The 13,676-nt window shown below is 39.6% G+C and overlaps 1 protein-coding gene and 1 pseudogene across 11 annotated transcripts in view; both read right to left on the bottom strand.

Annotated features, from left to right (window-relative positions):
- IL18RAP (interleukin 18 receptor accessory protein) overlaps nt 1-1,627 on the bottom strand; it is a 33,945-nt gene extending 32,318 nt beyond the window's left edge. For 8 of the 11 annotated variants that reach the window (XR_007083519.1, XM_024453197.2, XM_047446162.1 and 5 more), the window contains exons 1-3: nt 1,599-1,627; nt 1,308-1,458; nt 451-687 (exon numbers count right to left, since the gene is read on the bottom strand). The gene's annotated coding sequence lies outside the window, so the exon portion shown is untranslated. Of the gene's footprint in view, nt 1-450; nt 688-1,307 lie in introns of all 11 variants that reach the window. The other 3 variants (NM_001393488.1, NM_003853.4, XM_024453201.2) reach the window with 2 other exon arrangements.
- On the bottom strand, nt 8,137-9,088 carry SDR42E1P5 (short chain dehydrogenase/reductase family 42E, member 1 pseudogene 5; annotated as a pseudogene).

The following is a 13,676-nucleotide window of genomic DNA, read 5'->3' as shown; positions in this document are numbered from 1 at the left end:
TCAGGGATAAGCATAGAGCTTGGGGAGGTGGGTTAGTGCTGAGTTACAGTAGCTGTTGCCAGCATTGTAGGCAACTGACCAACATGAGCCCAAGACCATTCTGGAAGTCTCATTTATGTGGGACAACACACCCACACTGTGTGGCTTGCTTGTTAATATCTACCTTTTGAAGGCCATCTAATGTCTAAGTGATGTCTTCCATGCTGCCGTCACTAAAATGCTTCACCGAATCGGAAGGAGCCACCAAAATGCAGAGTACATCATTTATTGAGCACTGGGCAACTTAAGCCAAAGCAAGCTTCAGACTCTGCTTATGGGAATAAAATAATGTGGCACTCATTTACTTTCTGTAAAGTGAAGCGGGGTGCTGTCTTTCTCATATTACAGATGGACAACCAAGGCTCACATTGCTTGGAATGGCAGTGCCCATTCTCAATGATAATCACATACCTGGTAAGTATTAGAAGGGGGATTCATATCCAGGTGTAGAGGGTCTCAAAGCTTCTGATTTCCCCATCACCATATGTTGTCCTTCACAGAAGGAATTGAGAGCCCAACAGCGCTGGGAGAATCTACAGAATCGCTTCTTTATCAATTTTCCAGATGCGTTTTTTGAGAATCACATATGTTTTTTCAGAGGATGAAGATTTCCCTTTCAGTTGGTCAAGGCTACACCTTCAGCTGTCTCTGGCAGAAATAATGAACTAAACTTTACCCACAAAACTTTTTGGTGAGAAACGGGGGAGAGAGAGGAAAGTGCTGGAGAAAGCAGTGTCAACAGGGATCTGAGACCCAGGGAGAGAAATGTCACCATCAAAGGCAGACTTAAACTACTTTACACAGAGAACACCTGCAGACAGAGATTTGGTCTCGTGTAATAGTGACAGTATTTAATTTAACTAATATCATTATGATTCTCAGATGCTCCATGGTGGCTTTAGACCCCATTGTCTAGGGATAACAGAAAATGAAGCTGTAGTACCTGCCATCAAAGATGTTACAGTTAAGTTTAAATGGGCATTCAAATTTGGCAAATATCTTGAATCTCTCTGCTCTTAGCCCTTCCTGTAAAATGCTCAAAGCACTTTAAACGGGTTTATTTTATAACCATCAGTTTTTTTAAGTGAAGACTCCGTATATATGGAGATGTAAATTTTGTTAGTAAATAACCCATTTTGTTATTCTAAAATATTTCTTGAAAAGTAATTGTATTAGCAACTCATTTTTTAAATTATTTAAGCTATTCTCCCAACTTATGTTTTCTGGTTAGGAAATCTAGTGAAAAAAAAGAAGTACTGCTCTCTTACCTTTATTTCCTGCTCTTAAGACATAAAAAAAAGAGGAAGGAACTTCAAGTCCTTATTTCAGTAACTGCCAGCTTTTGTATCTGAACGAAAATATGTGAAAATATCCATTTTCAAAGGGTTCTACTATATTTCTTCCTATCCAGAGAGATACCTGGAGAAGACACAATAGCCACGTTACACCAGCTCAAAAATAAAGGATTATAACTGGAGGAAAAAGGAAAACCTTATTTTGTAAATGACCATGGACATTGTGAAATGGATGGTCATACAGAGGAAAATCAAATAAACTACCTCTTTCAGTAGGAAGTGCTCTGAAGAAGAAGCATCTCAAACTCTTCTCTGACCAACCTCCTTGATGAGATAAAGTTTGTGGTTGGGTTTAGTTGAAAGAGTGAGTAAGCTGGTTTCCTTTACAGGAATTTCCTGTAAAGAATATTAACTTTCAACTCAATTTCTCAACTGTGGGTTTTGGTTTTCTTCTTGTAAAACTAATCTCTAAAAGTGTGACCTTTGAGATAAACACTAAAGCCTATTTTGTGATTAACTTTCTAATTTTGAAAAAGAAAAATTATGTCTCCAACACCAATTTTATAAAGCAATAATTTATTAATACATAAAGGAAAATACATTTAAAGTCTAAAGTTACTTGAGTTTTTATGTTCCTATTGAGAGATAGTCTCAGAATATAACATATAATTGAAAACTCCATTGTTCCTTTGATAGAGCAACTGAAACCATTTAATACTTCAAAAACTCTGAGACCACAATAGTTGTAATGAGTTTTGTCTAGAAACCATCTTGGTGAAGTCTAGATAACATCCTCCGTCAAGAGTCTAGTATTCTAATAAAGGTAAAGCTGGCACAGCTGAGCACATCAAAGCTCCAGGCTGCTTCTACACATATGTAGAGAATAACATGAAATACAAATGAAAACTAAATTTACTTTGGTATGAAAGCAAAATAAGTGTTTACCTGAGGTGAGGGTAGGAGGATACAAGAAGAATTAGTAACTGCAGACAGGAAGGAGCCCCAAAAATGTATCCACCACTGGTCATGAGTCTACCTAGGATTCCAAGAGGATGTGAGGGTTTGTTCCAAGCCTATTCCAACAGTGGTAACAAGGAGCAGTGAAACAGACACTCCAGGCATGTGATGCTTCAGGTTTACAATGTCATGTGGCAACAGGCCCAGTAGTAAGAACAAGGGCAGGAGACCCGGGAAGTTTTGGAGAAATGAGGTTGAATGAATGAAAAAGGCTAATAATAAGGTGTTGTTTTTGGTAAGTGTTCAATAACCATTGAATGGAACTATATTCAAGTGAATTGGGGTGTGGAAGCTGTCCTTGTGAAGTTTCAGAGATCTTGATGCAGACCTCAAAACTGAATCTAAAGTTATTGTATAAGCCATGCTTGCATTGCTATAAAGAAATATCCGAGACCAGGTAATTTCTAAGAAAAGTGGTTTAATTGGCTCATGGTTCTGCAGGCCACACAGAAAGCAGAGCGGCATCTTTTCCTGGGGAAGCCTTAGGAAGCTTCCAATCATGGCAGAAGGCAAAAGGGGAGCAGTCACATCACATGGTGAAAGCAGGTGTGAGAAACGGGTGGATGCAACACACTTTTAAACTACCAGATCTCACTCGCTATCGTGTGGACAACACCAAAGGGATGGTGCCAAACCATCATGAGAAACCTGACCCCATGGTCAGATCACCTCCCACCACGCCCCACCTCCAACACTGGAAATTACAATTTAACGTGAGATTTGTGCAGGAACTAATATACAAACTATTTCAGCTATTTAGTTGCCTCCTAAAGTGAATTTGATCACTTTAATAGAGTTTGAACAGGGCTTACAGGAGATGGAAAGTCTTGCTGTAGACATTGTGGAGCTAGTCTCTAAAAATGGCTGCCATCAATTCTTCCACCAACTCCTCACCTTTTCCCATTTACTTCCATGTGCATTTTGTTTCTCACATCAAGAGATAAAATGTGTTTTCTCTGTCCTTGAATCTAGCCTGGCTTTATGGTTCACTTTTGATGAAAAGAACACAGTGGAAGTGACACTGTTGCCAGTTGCAGACCAGTTTTTAAAAGATCTTCAGCTTCCGATTCCTCTTTTGGGAGCCAGACACCAGGTAACAAGCCCAAATATCCTGAGATCACCTTACTGTAAAGAAGCCTAAGCTAGGCAGATTGTGAGAACAGGAGAGAAAGAGATGCTAGGCCAGGCCCCAGCTGTTCTAACCCACCCGGCTTCAAGCCTGTGAGTGAATACCTACAGCAGATGTGACATGGAGAAGAACAACAGCTCAGCTGAGCCCAACCCAGATTGCAGCATTGTGAAAAATAATACGTTGTTAAGTTTAAGTCACTATGTTAGGTTTAAGTCAATAAATTTTGGGGTAGTTTGTTAGACAGCAATAGATGATGGAAAAATATATTACCATGTTACCATTGGCCAAATGAGTTCTATTTCACTTGAGATAAATTCCTGGATGAAATGGAAATGAGTCCACTTGGTGAATTTATGTTTCAAATTATGTTGTGCATACCTATTATTTTCTCAGAAATATGGTTCAAGGAGAAATAAAACACTTTTTTGACTTCCAACTATTCATATTTTTGAGAGAGAAATAATTATAGTGTATAGTCATGAATTTAATCCAAGAAACATATACTATCCATCTTCTACCTGCAAGATCTTTTGCTGGTCGACCTAAAAACAAGCTGTGTCATAATTAATATAAGTAAAGACTTTATTTGGGCAGAGCTTGAGGATCACATTGTGGGACCATAGATTCAAGTTGTTCTGAATATATTCTCTGACCAGCAGCAGTTACAAGTAGATTTTTAAAGGAAAATAAGAGGCAGTTTCTAAGTTGTTTAGCAAGAATTACATTAAAATAAGACAAGCTATTGATTGGCTATCCATGTTGTCTGTCTCATGATGTTCGAGAACCTGAAGATAATGAATGAGGTAGCTAGTCAGAAACAAAATGACTTTAAACAATTGCCCTAGGCATGAGTACAGTGGGGGGGTGAGAGGTGGGGAGCATGACTGAAGTCACGTACTCATATCTCTCTGGGCCTAATAAATTTTGCATACCTCAGATAGCTCACACTACTCTGAGCTATTTTTCTTCTCTCTTTTCTCCCCACTTAGATCAAAAATCTTCCCATGGAAGCACTGATGATCAAACTCTGCTTAGGTTAGAATAGGCATCCTTCATCCCTTGGCATCCCAAGGAAGGCCCATTCCTAGATAGATCCCAGTCAAGTGATTTATATAACTTCCATTGCTTGTTGAATTATCTCTAGTTTTTGAAGTTTTATGCTTTTGTTTGTCTTGGAAGAAGTACAGCAATGAGAGATACGTGGTGAAACCTATTTCACTGGGGATTCAATCCAAATTTTAGGAAAATAATAAAAACTCAAAAACAATTAATGGTCAGGGCTGCGATCTAATAACAGGTATGCTATAATCTTCCTTGGAAACATAATTTTACTCTCTCCAGTTTCCCATTTCTACCAAAGATAAATCTTACTAGGATCAATTTACTTGTAAAATAAGATATAGTATTATACTTGGTCTGATTATTTGCATAAAGTGCAATAAGAATCATGATTAGACCTATAGGCTGTTTTAAGTTGGCTTTGCTGGAACTTTCACAGGGCATTTTGGATTACACTTTTAAAAGCCTCGAGGTTAGGAAGCCAAGCCAAGAATTTGCCACCAGGATGTACCTGTGATACCTGTACAAATTGGGTAAATTCCTCTCTTCTTGAGGTTCCAACATGTCTTGAGGACCCTAGAGCTGTCAGAAAATGGTATTCTTTACTTACTGCAAAATTAGAAACCTTAAAAAGGAACCATGTACATAAGTTACTATGCCATCCTTTTCAAGAGGCTTTTGATTGGTTCTATAAAGTCAATTTCAATTCTTCAAAGCAGTCTGGTTATATCTGAAAATATGCCATTCCAGTCAAAGCCTTGGTAAAATAATCAGTGTCTCCAATTGTGTCCTGTTACAGAAAACAGATTCTTATTAAACTTATGCAAATAACTACATTGCCAATAAAATAAAAATGCTCACATATAGTTTCCAAATTTTGGAGAAATCAGGTGGAGAGAAAGGCAAATGCTTCAATTTTACTCACAAAGATCTATTTTACCCAATGGCTATAATCTACAAATAGCTGAAAAGAATTTTTTTCATGACTCTGGCAAACAAAATATAAAAAGAATCAGCAATGCTTCAAACAAAACATCTTAAAAATCATTTCAGTCCTCTATCACTTCAGTCCCATGTCATTAACTTTTCTTGTGCTTGAGGTTGGGCTAGCAATCTTCGTGAATGCATCAGTTTATTAGAGTTCTGAGTGTTTTTACACAGTCCAATCATATAATATCTAAAGTAATCAGAAACCTGTATTCAAGAGTACTTGTCAAGGTACACTTTCAAGAATCTCCTTGGAGAAAAAGCAAATTTTGGACTATAGCTGATTATAAACCGTTTTTTGAGAAGAATCAAAGTAAGACAACAAATGTCTGTGGATGACAAAGGACTTAGTACTCTAAGTCTTTAGCCATGGCTAAAGATGCATGTGACAAGGAAATTTGGTTATTTCTGTGGCAGACAACATTTTAAAATAACAATCATAATTATATCTGACAATGTATATAAAGACATATCAGAATTTTACAAATTTCACATGATTTTGGAGCACATATTAATAATATATCCACACCAATGATGCAGGATTTTTGCTCCTTAGCTCAGCTAGGTCTAGGTTTTTGTCTCATAACGAGGAAGAAATATGCACTCAGACATCAAAGAGTGAGTGGAGTAGAATTTATTAAGTGAAAGGAAGGCTCTCAGCAGACAGGGACCCTGAAAAGCAGGTTTCCGGCTGCCCCCTTCACAGTTGAATACCAGGGCATAAGGTGTGAATTCCTGGTAGCTCCACCCCGTCCTTCCAATGAACATGCGGGCACTTAGACTGACTTGCTCCATATTGATTTATTTTCCTTACTGCACATGTTTTAAGGGATGGGATTTTCCACTGTAGGCATGTTTAGGTAAGCCTCCTGTGCAAGTTCCCTTATCTGCACAAAACAACTGATGTAAGTGCTTGTGGGGTGGGTCGCCGGTTCTCTGGGGACCCTTCTCTTACTGTCTGCCTAAGGCAAGCTGGCTAACTCCTTTCATTACCCCCTCCAGGAGGAGACCCCAACTGCTATTAGAGAAAGTGGATAATGACTGTTCTTAACTGCTTCCTGCTGACAGGGTGTGCTGTTTTGGGAAAGCTGAATTAGGGCTCCTCCTAAGTATGGTTTAAGGGTCCCTGGAAGAATAGCATATTCATGCATGGATTCATTTGCATCATCATTTGAAGTTTAATGGCCTCTAAATGAGAATAAACAATTTGGGTTATTAGCAGACATATATAAAAATGAAACAAGGGGGGAAGGACAGCTCAAAAATCCCAAGGCTGCCAATATGCCCAGATAACTGATGGCTACAGCTATGCCTGCTAAGATTTGGATGCATGGTGCTTTGCTTTGGTTAGCTCCCTTGGTCTTATTTTCCCAAAAAAAAAAGAACCCTCTGGGTTCACCTGGCAGGATTTGCAAGATAATTGCTCAGAATTAAAACATTGATCCAGATTTTTACTTTACCCATCCCTTTTGTTTCTTCTGATCTGTAGCCAGAGATCACTGGTTGTTTCACAGGAATAAGCAAGGTTAGTCTAAAATGTAGGCAAAATCTTAAAAACAATTGATGAGATTAGAATTTAATGACAAGCATATATGTTTTGAAACATAATTTTTCTCTCTCCAGTCCTCATTTTTATCAAAAACAAATCACGATAGGACTGAGTTGTTTGCAAAATAGATTTTAGTCTTATACTTGGCCTGATTATTTGCATAAAGTGCAGCAAGAATAATTATTTTTCACATAGGCTTTTAAATTGGCTTTGAGGGAATTCTGTTCCACAAGAAATCTCAGATAAGACCTTTTAAAGCCCAGCCTAGCCGTGGGTTTGTACCCTCAAACACCTATGAGTTTTGTGAATTTCTCTCTTCTTTAAGTCCCAAAAACATAGGGCCCGTTAGAAAATGACATTCTTTAGTCATCACAGGTTAGGAATCCTGTGCAGGGATGGTGTAGACAAGGAATGAGGCCAGTTTTCCTAGGGGGCTTTTATTGGCTCTTCAAGTCAAGCCAGATTCCTTAAGTGGAAGCATATCCTTCCAGTCAAAGCCTTGGTAAACAACCAGTTTCTCCAATTGTGTCCTGTTGCAAAAGAAAATGGACTTTTATTACACTGATGCAAATAACTGTATTGCCGCAAGGTAAGAATACTTACAAATAGTTTCCAAATTCAGGAGAAGCCAGGCAGAGAGAGAAACAAATACGCTCCAAATTTTGTTCAGAAGAGTATAGCTTACTCAATTATTAAAGACTGTAGATAACTCAAAATAAGTTTCCTTGCCTCTGGAAAACAAGGATCAGCAACGTTTTAAGCCAAAAGTTAAAAAGATTACTTCAGTTTTCTATTAGCTCAGTCTATTCCATTAACTCTTGTTCTGCTTGATATTCATGAACATTTCAGCTCTTCATGAATCCTGTACATTTCCCTCTATTCCAATATTATAATCTCCAAAGTTCTCAGAAACCTGCATTTTAGAGCACCTGTCAAAGTTCTATAGCTGATTACAAACCATCTTTTGAAAAGAATCAAAGCAAGACAACAATTGTCTATGAATGACAAAATGTCCAGTGTAGTTACAGTCAAGAACATGATTGACAAATAAATTTGGTTATCTCTTTCTTGGCTTTCCCTAAGCTAAAATAATGGGTGACACCAGTTTTGTAACCTTCAGTGTGGGTGAGGAGGGGCTGGAAGTTGTAGAGTCAACCCAAAATGAAGCGAGCCATCTGTTTTAGGAAAGCAAAGCAGTAGACCATGGTCAACGGCTGGTGGGTGGATGGGAGCATGTAATCCAGATCCTCAACCAGAGGCCAGAAGAACTCAAAATTGTTCACTGGTCAGCCATCTGAGACAAAGTAGGGCTGTCCAGAGGCAATATGTCCCTTGTCAGCTCTCAGGGCCTCTGAGGCCAGAATGTGAGCCTGCACCAAGTTATCCACATGGACAGACTCAACCAGGCTTCTAGGATCTCCACAGACAAACTTGAACGTGTCTTTCTCAATATAGCTGACTATTCTGGGAAGGTGTCTTTGTTCTCCAGGCCCATAGATGCCAGCCGGCCTCAGAGAACAGGTTCTTAAGACACCATCACCTCTGTCCAGGGGTGTGCTCTTCGCCTCCAGCACCTTCTTCTCTGGCACCCCCCTCCTCTGGCAAACCTGGAGGATGTTGTCTGTACTCCCAATGCTGACCTCTTTGATCAGGTTTTGATTTAGTTGCTCCTTCCCTGACAAACCATAAGAGGCAATATGGAACACACATGTGACATCTGTGTCAAGGCTTTCTCTATGTCAGAGAGGTGGCGGATGTCTCCATGTACAAACTTGATTCCTTCTGGAATGGTTTGAGCAGGACTGCTGATGTCAAATAGAATTACGTGGACTCCCTTTTGGTTCAGAGCATGGCCCAGGTGGAAACCAAAATAGCCACCTCCTCCTGTAATGAGGAAAGTTTCCTTTGGAGATCTTTGGGGGTCCATATGTGGCAGTCAAAAGACAACTGGACAGCAGCAGGAAGAAGGGCGTGGCCTTCAGACTGAAGAAGGCCGGCTGGCCCAGGCCTTGGGAGCCACCTGCTGCCTCTACTTGGGCACTGGAGCCCTCAGACTGGCCTCTGGTAAGTTATTTTAATTATGTTCTATTCACAGATAAGGTCTTACTCTTTCCAGCATAGTTAAAGGGGTGGGCAATTCCATATGTCCACAAGCCTTCCCAAATTGTAAAGTATACAAATCAAATGGTTCTCAAAAGCTAAAAAAGTAGTTTATAACCTTAAAACATTTAGCAAACCTAGTATCTGACCCACATAATTTAGACCATATATTTACATATGAAGACATTTGCACTTTACCAATTATCTTTAAAACTGTTTTTATGTTTCAAAGATTAAAGTCACATGAACTAAAAGGCATTACAGCTTTTATTTCTCCTTGAAAAATATTTGATCTAAGTGTTTATTTTTCTTTAGGTCAATGAATTAGAGCTGTTTTATATAACCATCACACACATAACACATATGATTACACAGACAGACAGAAGAAGATCCAGTAGTTGTAAGATTTTTCATTTGGAGCCGAGCACAGTGGCTCATGCCTGTAATCCCAGCACTTTGGGAGGCCAAGGTGGGCAGATCACTTGAGGTCAGAAGTTCGAGACCAGCCTGGCCAACATGGTGAAACCCCATCTCTACTAAAAATACAAAAATTAGCTGGGTGTTTTGGTGTGCACCTGTAATCCCAGCTACTCGGGGGGCTGAGACAGGAGAATCGCTTGAACCCGGGAGGCAGAGGTTGCAGTGAGCAGAGACTGCAGCATTGCACTCTAGCCTGGGTGACAGAGCAAGATGCTGTTTCAAAAACAAAAAAAGATTTTTTCATTTGCCTATCTCCTAATTGGGTCATTGGCCTCAGGGTGGAGTCCTTCAAGAAGCAGGGCTAGGAAAGCATGCAGTTTTCAGGGCCCAAGAAACAGGCATAGCTGGAAAACAAAAACAGATTTTGGGAGGGACCTATCTGTTTTTAATTTCGGGGTTCCATAAGGAAAACAGAGCTTTCTTCCCAAAATGGGGTCTCTAGCACCTTCTCTGTTTTTCCCAAGGAGTCCCATGCTCTCACAAGTTATCTTAGGGCCTCTCATGCGTGCACCGAGAATGGCAAGACTAAATGGAAAAAAATAATTCAGTTGACTGAGAAAAAGCCTTTTTCCAGAAAAACAAGATCCAAGGAAAAAAAAAAGGCCTTTTAAATATACCAATACCTTGGATATCCACTTTTAATTAAGCTGAGCACTCTTTAAGAAAGTCTTTTTAAGTCCCCTGTTAACCGACTTTAGCCAGGCCACGCGGCCAATATTTCTGGCTTTTGAACTTTATGGAAAGTAACCTCACAGATGAAACCAACAAGCCTCAACTAAGGTTATGACTTAACTGTGAGTGTATGAGGTATTTTCAAAGTAGTGGTAAGCAGTTTTTACAAAATCTGGAATCTTTAAAGGTGACTCTGAGAAAGGAAGATTTAAGAAAGGAAGCTAGAAGTTGTTCACAGAGGGGAAGAAAATCAGCAAATGGTAAAAGTCACACGATATTAACCAGAAAGTACTCATTCCCTAAGCCAGAATTGAACCCAGGCTGCCGTTATAAAATGGCAGAGACCAAAACAAAGTATTGCCACATGGTTACAATGTCAAACTCCCAAGAACATAAAACAAGATGGAGACCCGAAGCTGGTTGCTGACCATTTGCCTGGCTGGCTTGAACAGTAGGCTTATGGGGTCCTAGGCCCATATTCTATCCTAAGGTACTCCTCTTCATGCAGAACCATATAGAAAGTCACGCCAAGCACACCAGATTGGTTACAGCTTAAGACTGGCCTCATAAATTCTTTTTTCCATTAATCCAAACTTCACAGAGGATATAAACAGTGATTTTATCATCCATTCAATCATTTGTACAGGGAGAGGGAAGCCAGAAATCCGACTGGTAAAAACTTTTATCCTTTTGCCGGCATGTCAGACTTCTGGGTTCCCTTCCCCTGAGCTCGGTTTTAAGCCAAGCAGCTTAAGGTTTGGGGTAATTAAGTTTTCCCTGTTTGGGGGGTGCACCCAAGGGGAGTGTCCTGTGGTATGGGGACACAATTACCCATCTGTGAAGAGAGGACAGAGGAGGCAAAAGGGGAAAGAAGGCTTTTTCTTTTTTCCTCAAAGGAATCCCAGTGATTCAGGAGGCATTTGAGAGAAACACACGCTGAAGATGATTGGTTACCCATCTAGAAAGAAGGGAAAAAGGCATCCTTAGTTTCTTTATCTTCCCAGCAAATACCTGGGGTATGTGAGGGAGAGAAAGAAGCATCCCCTTTTCTTTCTTCCATCCTTATATTCCCAAGTCCTAGTGACCTCAGCAGGGTGCAACCCGTGGGTGCCAATGCAGCTTTTCACCCATGTTAACAGGGGGCCTGGGAGTGGGAACTGTCCGCATTTACCTACGCGCTGCCTTTCCCCTGCTGTCGGTAACCTTTGAGTTCCCTAGATCTTGTCTATGCCATGGATGCGAGCCTGACCTCCAACCATAAAGCGGGAAGGCCTAATTGGCTTGAATTAGTCATGCTTGGGGGCAGGAAGATGCCACCAGGCATGGGTGGAGAGAGGCCATGACTTTAGTCTCATACTTATGTCTCTCTGGGCCTGATAAACTTTGCATACCTCACATGGCTCATGCTGCTCTGAACTCTTTTTCTTTTCTCACTGGGAACTGTCATCTTACAGATGAATATGAGATGATTTTTGTCCTTCAAGGGTTAACAGTTGAGTTGAGGGAGCAGAATCTCTAAAGGTCACTTCTTATACTGTAATGCTAGACAAAGATACACAGCAGAACACAGGAGAGGAGCTCTTAGCCAACCTGAGGACTGAAGGATGGCTTCTCGAGATAATTCACTGAATTTTCATTAATTTTTTTTAAACCTTACGTGTAGATGGTGAAGGCGATGAGCTCTAATATTTTCACGCTCTTCTCTAGACTTTCAATCATCTGTCCCCCACAACCTGCTGCTTGAGTCTCCCCTCAGGACATAGTTTCTCTAGCAGCTCACTTACATGGTGGTTGTTTTCCCTCCCAGACTCCAGGTACCATTGGTTTCCAGCCACTGTACCTCCCTCCTCCCTAAGAACCCCCAGCTTCAAATATCATGTCCTTGGGCTATCCCACCCAGTATCCCTACTTGTTGCAGTCATCCACAAAGCCCTGGGACACTCTGCTTTATTCCCTGAAGAGTTTAGTTCTGGGCTTACTCTTACTCTTCAGAACTCTTCCTGCTTTGATTCTTGGTATTAGCATTGATATAGATGATCCGTTTAACGTCCCCGTCTCTCAGTTCTTTGACTTCCTCTCCTCTAAAGCTCTTGTATTCCATCCTTACTTCACTATTTATTCCTGTAATCATAACCTAGACTTGTCATTGCTAATAATTGCTATGCCTCTATATTCCCAATTGAAAGCAACCCACTCCCTTGGCAATTACCTCCTGTCACCCAACTTACTTTCCAAAATATTCAAATTCCAGCACTCATTTAGTAACAAAAGAAATTTACACTGATCCTATCAAATTTTCAATGATCCCCTTCTTGCATTTTCCAAATTAAATTCTATTATTATTCATTATCAGTCCTTGAATAGTACAAAAAATTATTTGTATTCATTTAGTTAAATTTCTTTATATCTTTCATTAATATTTTTTTAAATTCTCCACTAGAAATGTATTTCTAGTGGAAAATTAATGCATTCTCACATTAATGCATTTTCAATGCATTCAACACATTAGGAAATCTCCTTCCTAAAGACCATCTACCTAGAACTTGCTCTTCTGCTTAAATATGGCAAATGCACAATTTCCAGCATTGGATTTCCATTTATCATCAGTCTGGAGATCTGGAGATGCCTTCCACCATTTTCCTTAGCTGGATTCCATTTCCCTGAAGCCCAAAGTACTATATGTTCCCTTTATGGAGGACCGCTTCTTCCAGGAGATCTCAGACAAAGGGACATGGCAGGAAATATCTTGAGGCCTTACTTGTCTGAAAATATCTATTTTACCCTCATATTTGAATAATTGTTTGACTCAGTAGAGAAATTTAGGCAATACATAATATTTTCTTCCAAAATGTTAAGGCAGTTCTGTCTCCATTTTGCTGAGTAATTAATTGGTGGGCTCTTTCAATCTGGAGCTTCATATCATTCTATTTTGAGATGCTTTCTTATTTCCAAAAATGTTATTAGACTAATTTGCAAATTCTTCTATTTTTTCTCTATTTTCATTTATTTAGCTCCTTGTTTTACATTCTGGGTAACACTTCATTATCCTCCAACCCTGATATTGTCTTTTCCACTTTAGCTAATTCATTTCTAATTTCCAACTCATCTTTATTATGCTCTGATGTAATATCTTTTCTTGTCTCTCTGAAAATATTAAAGTTTGTTCTTTAAATATGTTTTTCCTTTGGCTTATCTCTGTTATCTCCAAGTTCCATTTTGTTATTTGTTAATCATGGCCTTTCATAGTAAAGGATTTTCTTAAATATGTAAGGATTTTTCACTGTCTACTAATATTTAATAATGGGATGCTATGGCAAAGGTTTTGCACACATACACACAACTACAG

Source organism: Homo sapiens, chromosome 2, assembly GCF_000001405.40.
Source record: "Homo sapiens chromosome 2, GRCh38.p14 Primary Assembly".
NCBI lineage: Eukaryota > Metazoa > Chordata > Mammalia > Primates > Hominidae > Homo > Homo sapiens.
Note: the sequence above shows the minus strand (reverse complement) of the source record. Positions and strands in the feature narration are given on the sequence as shown.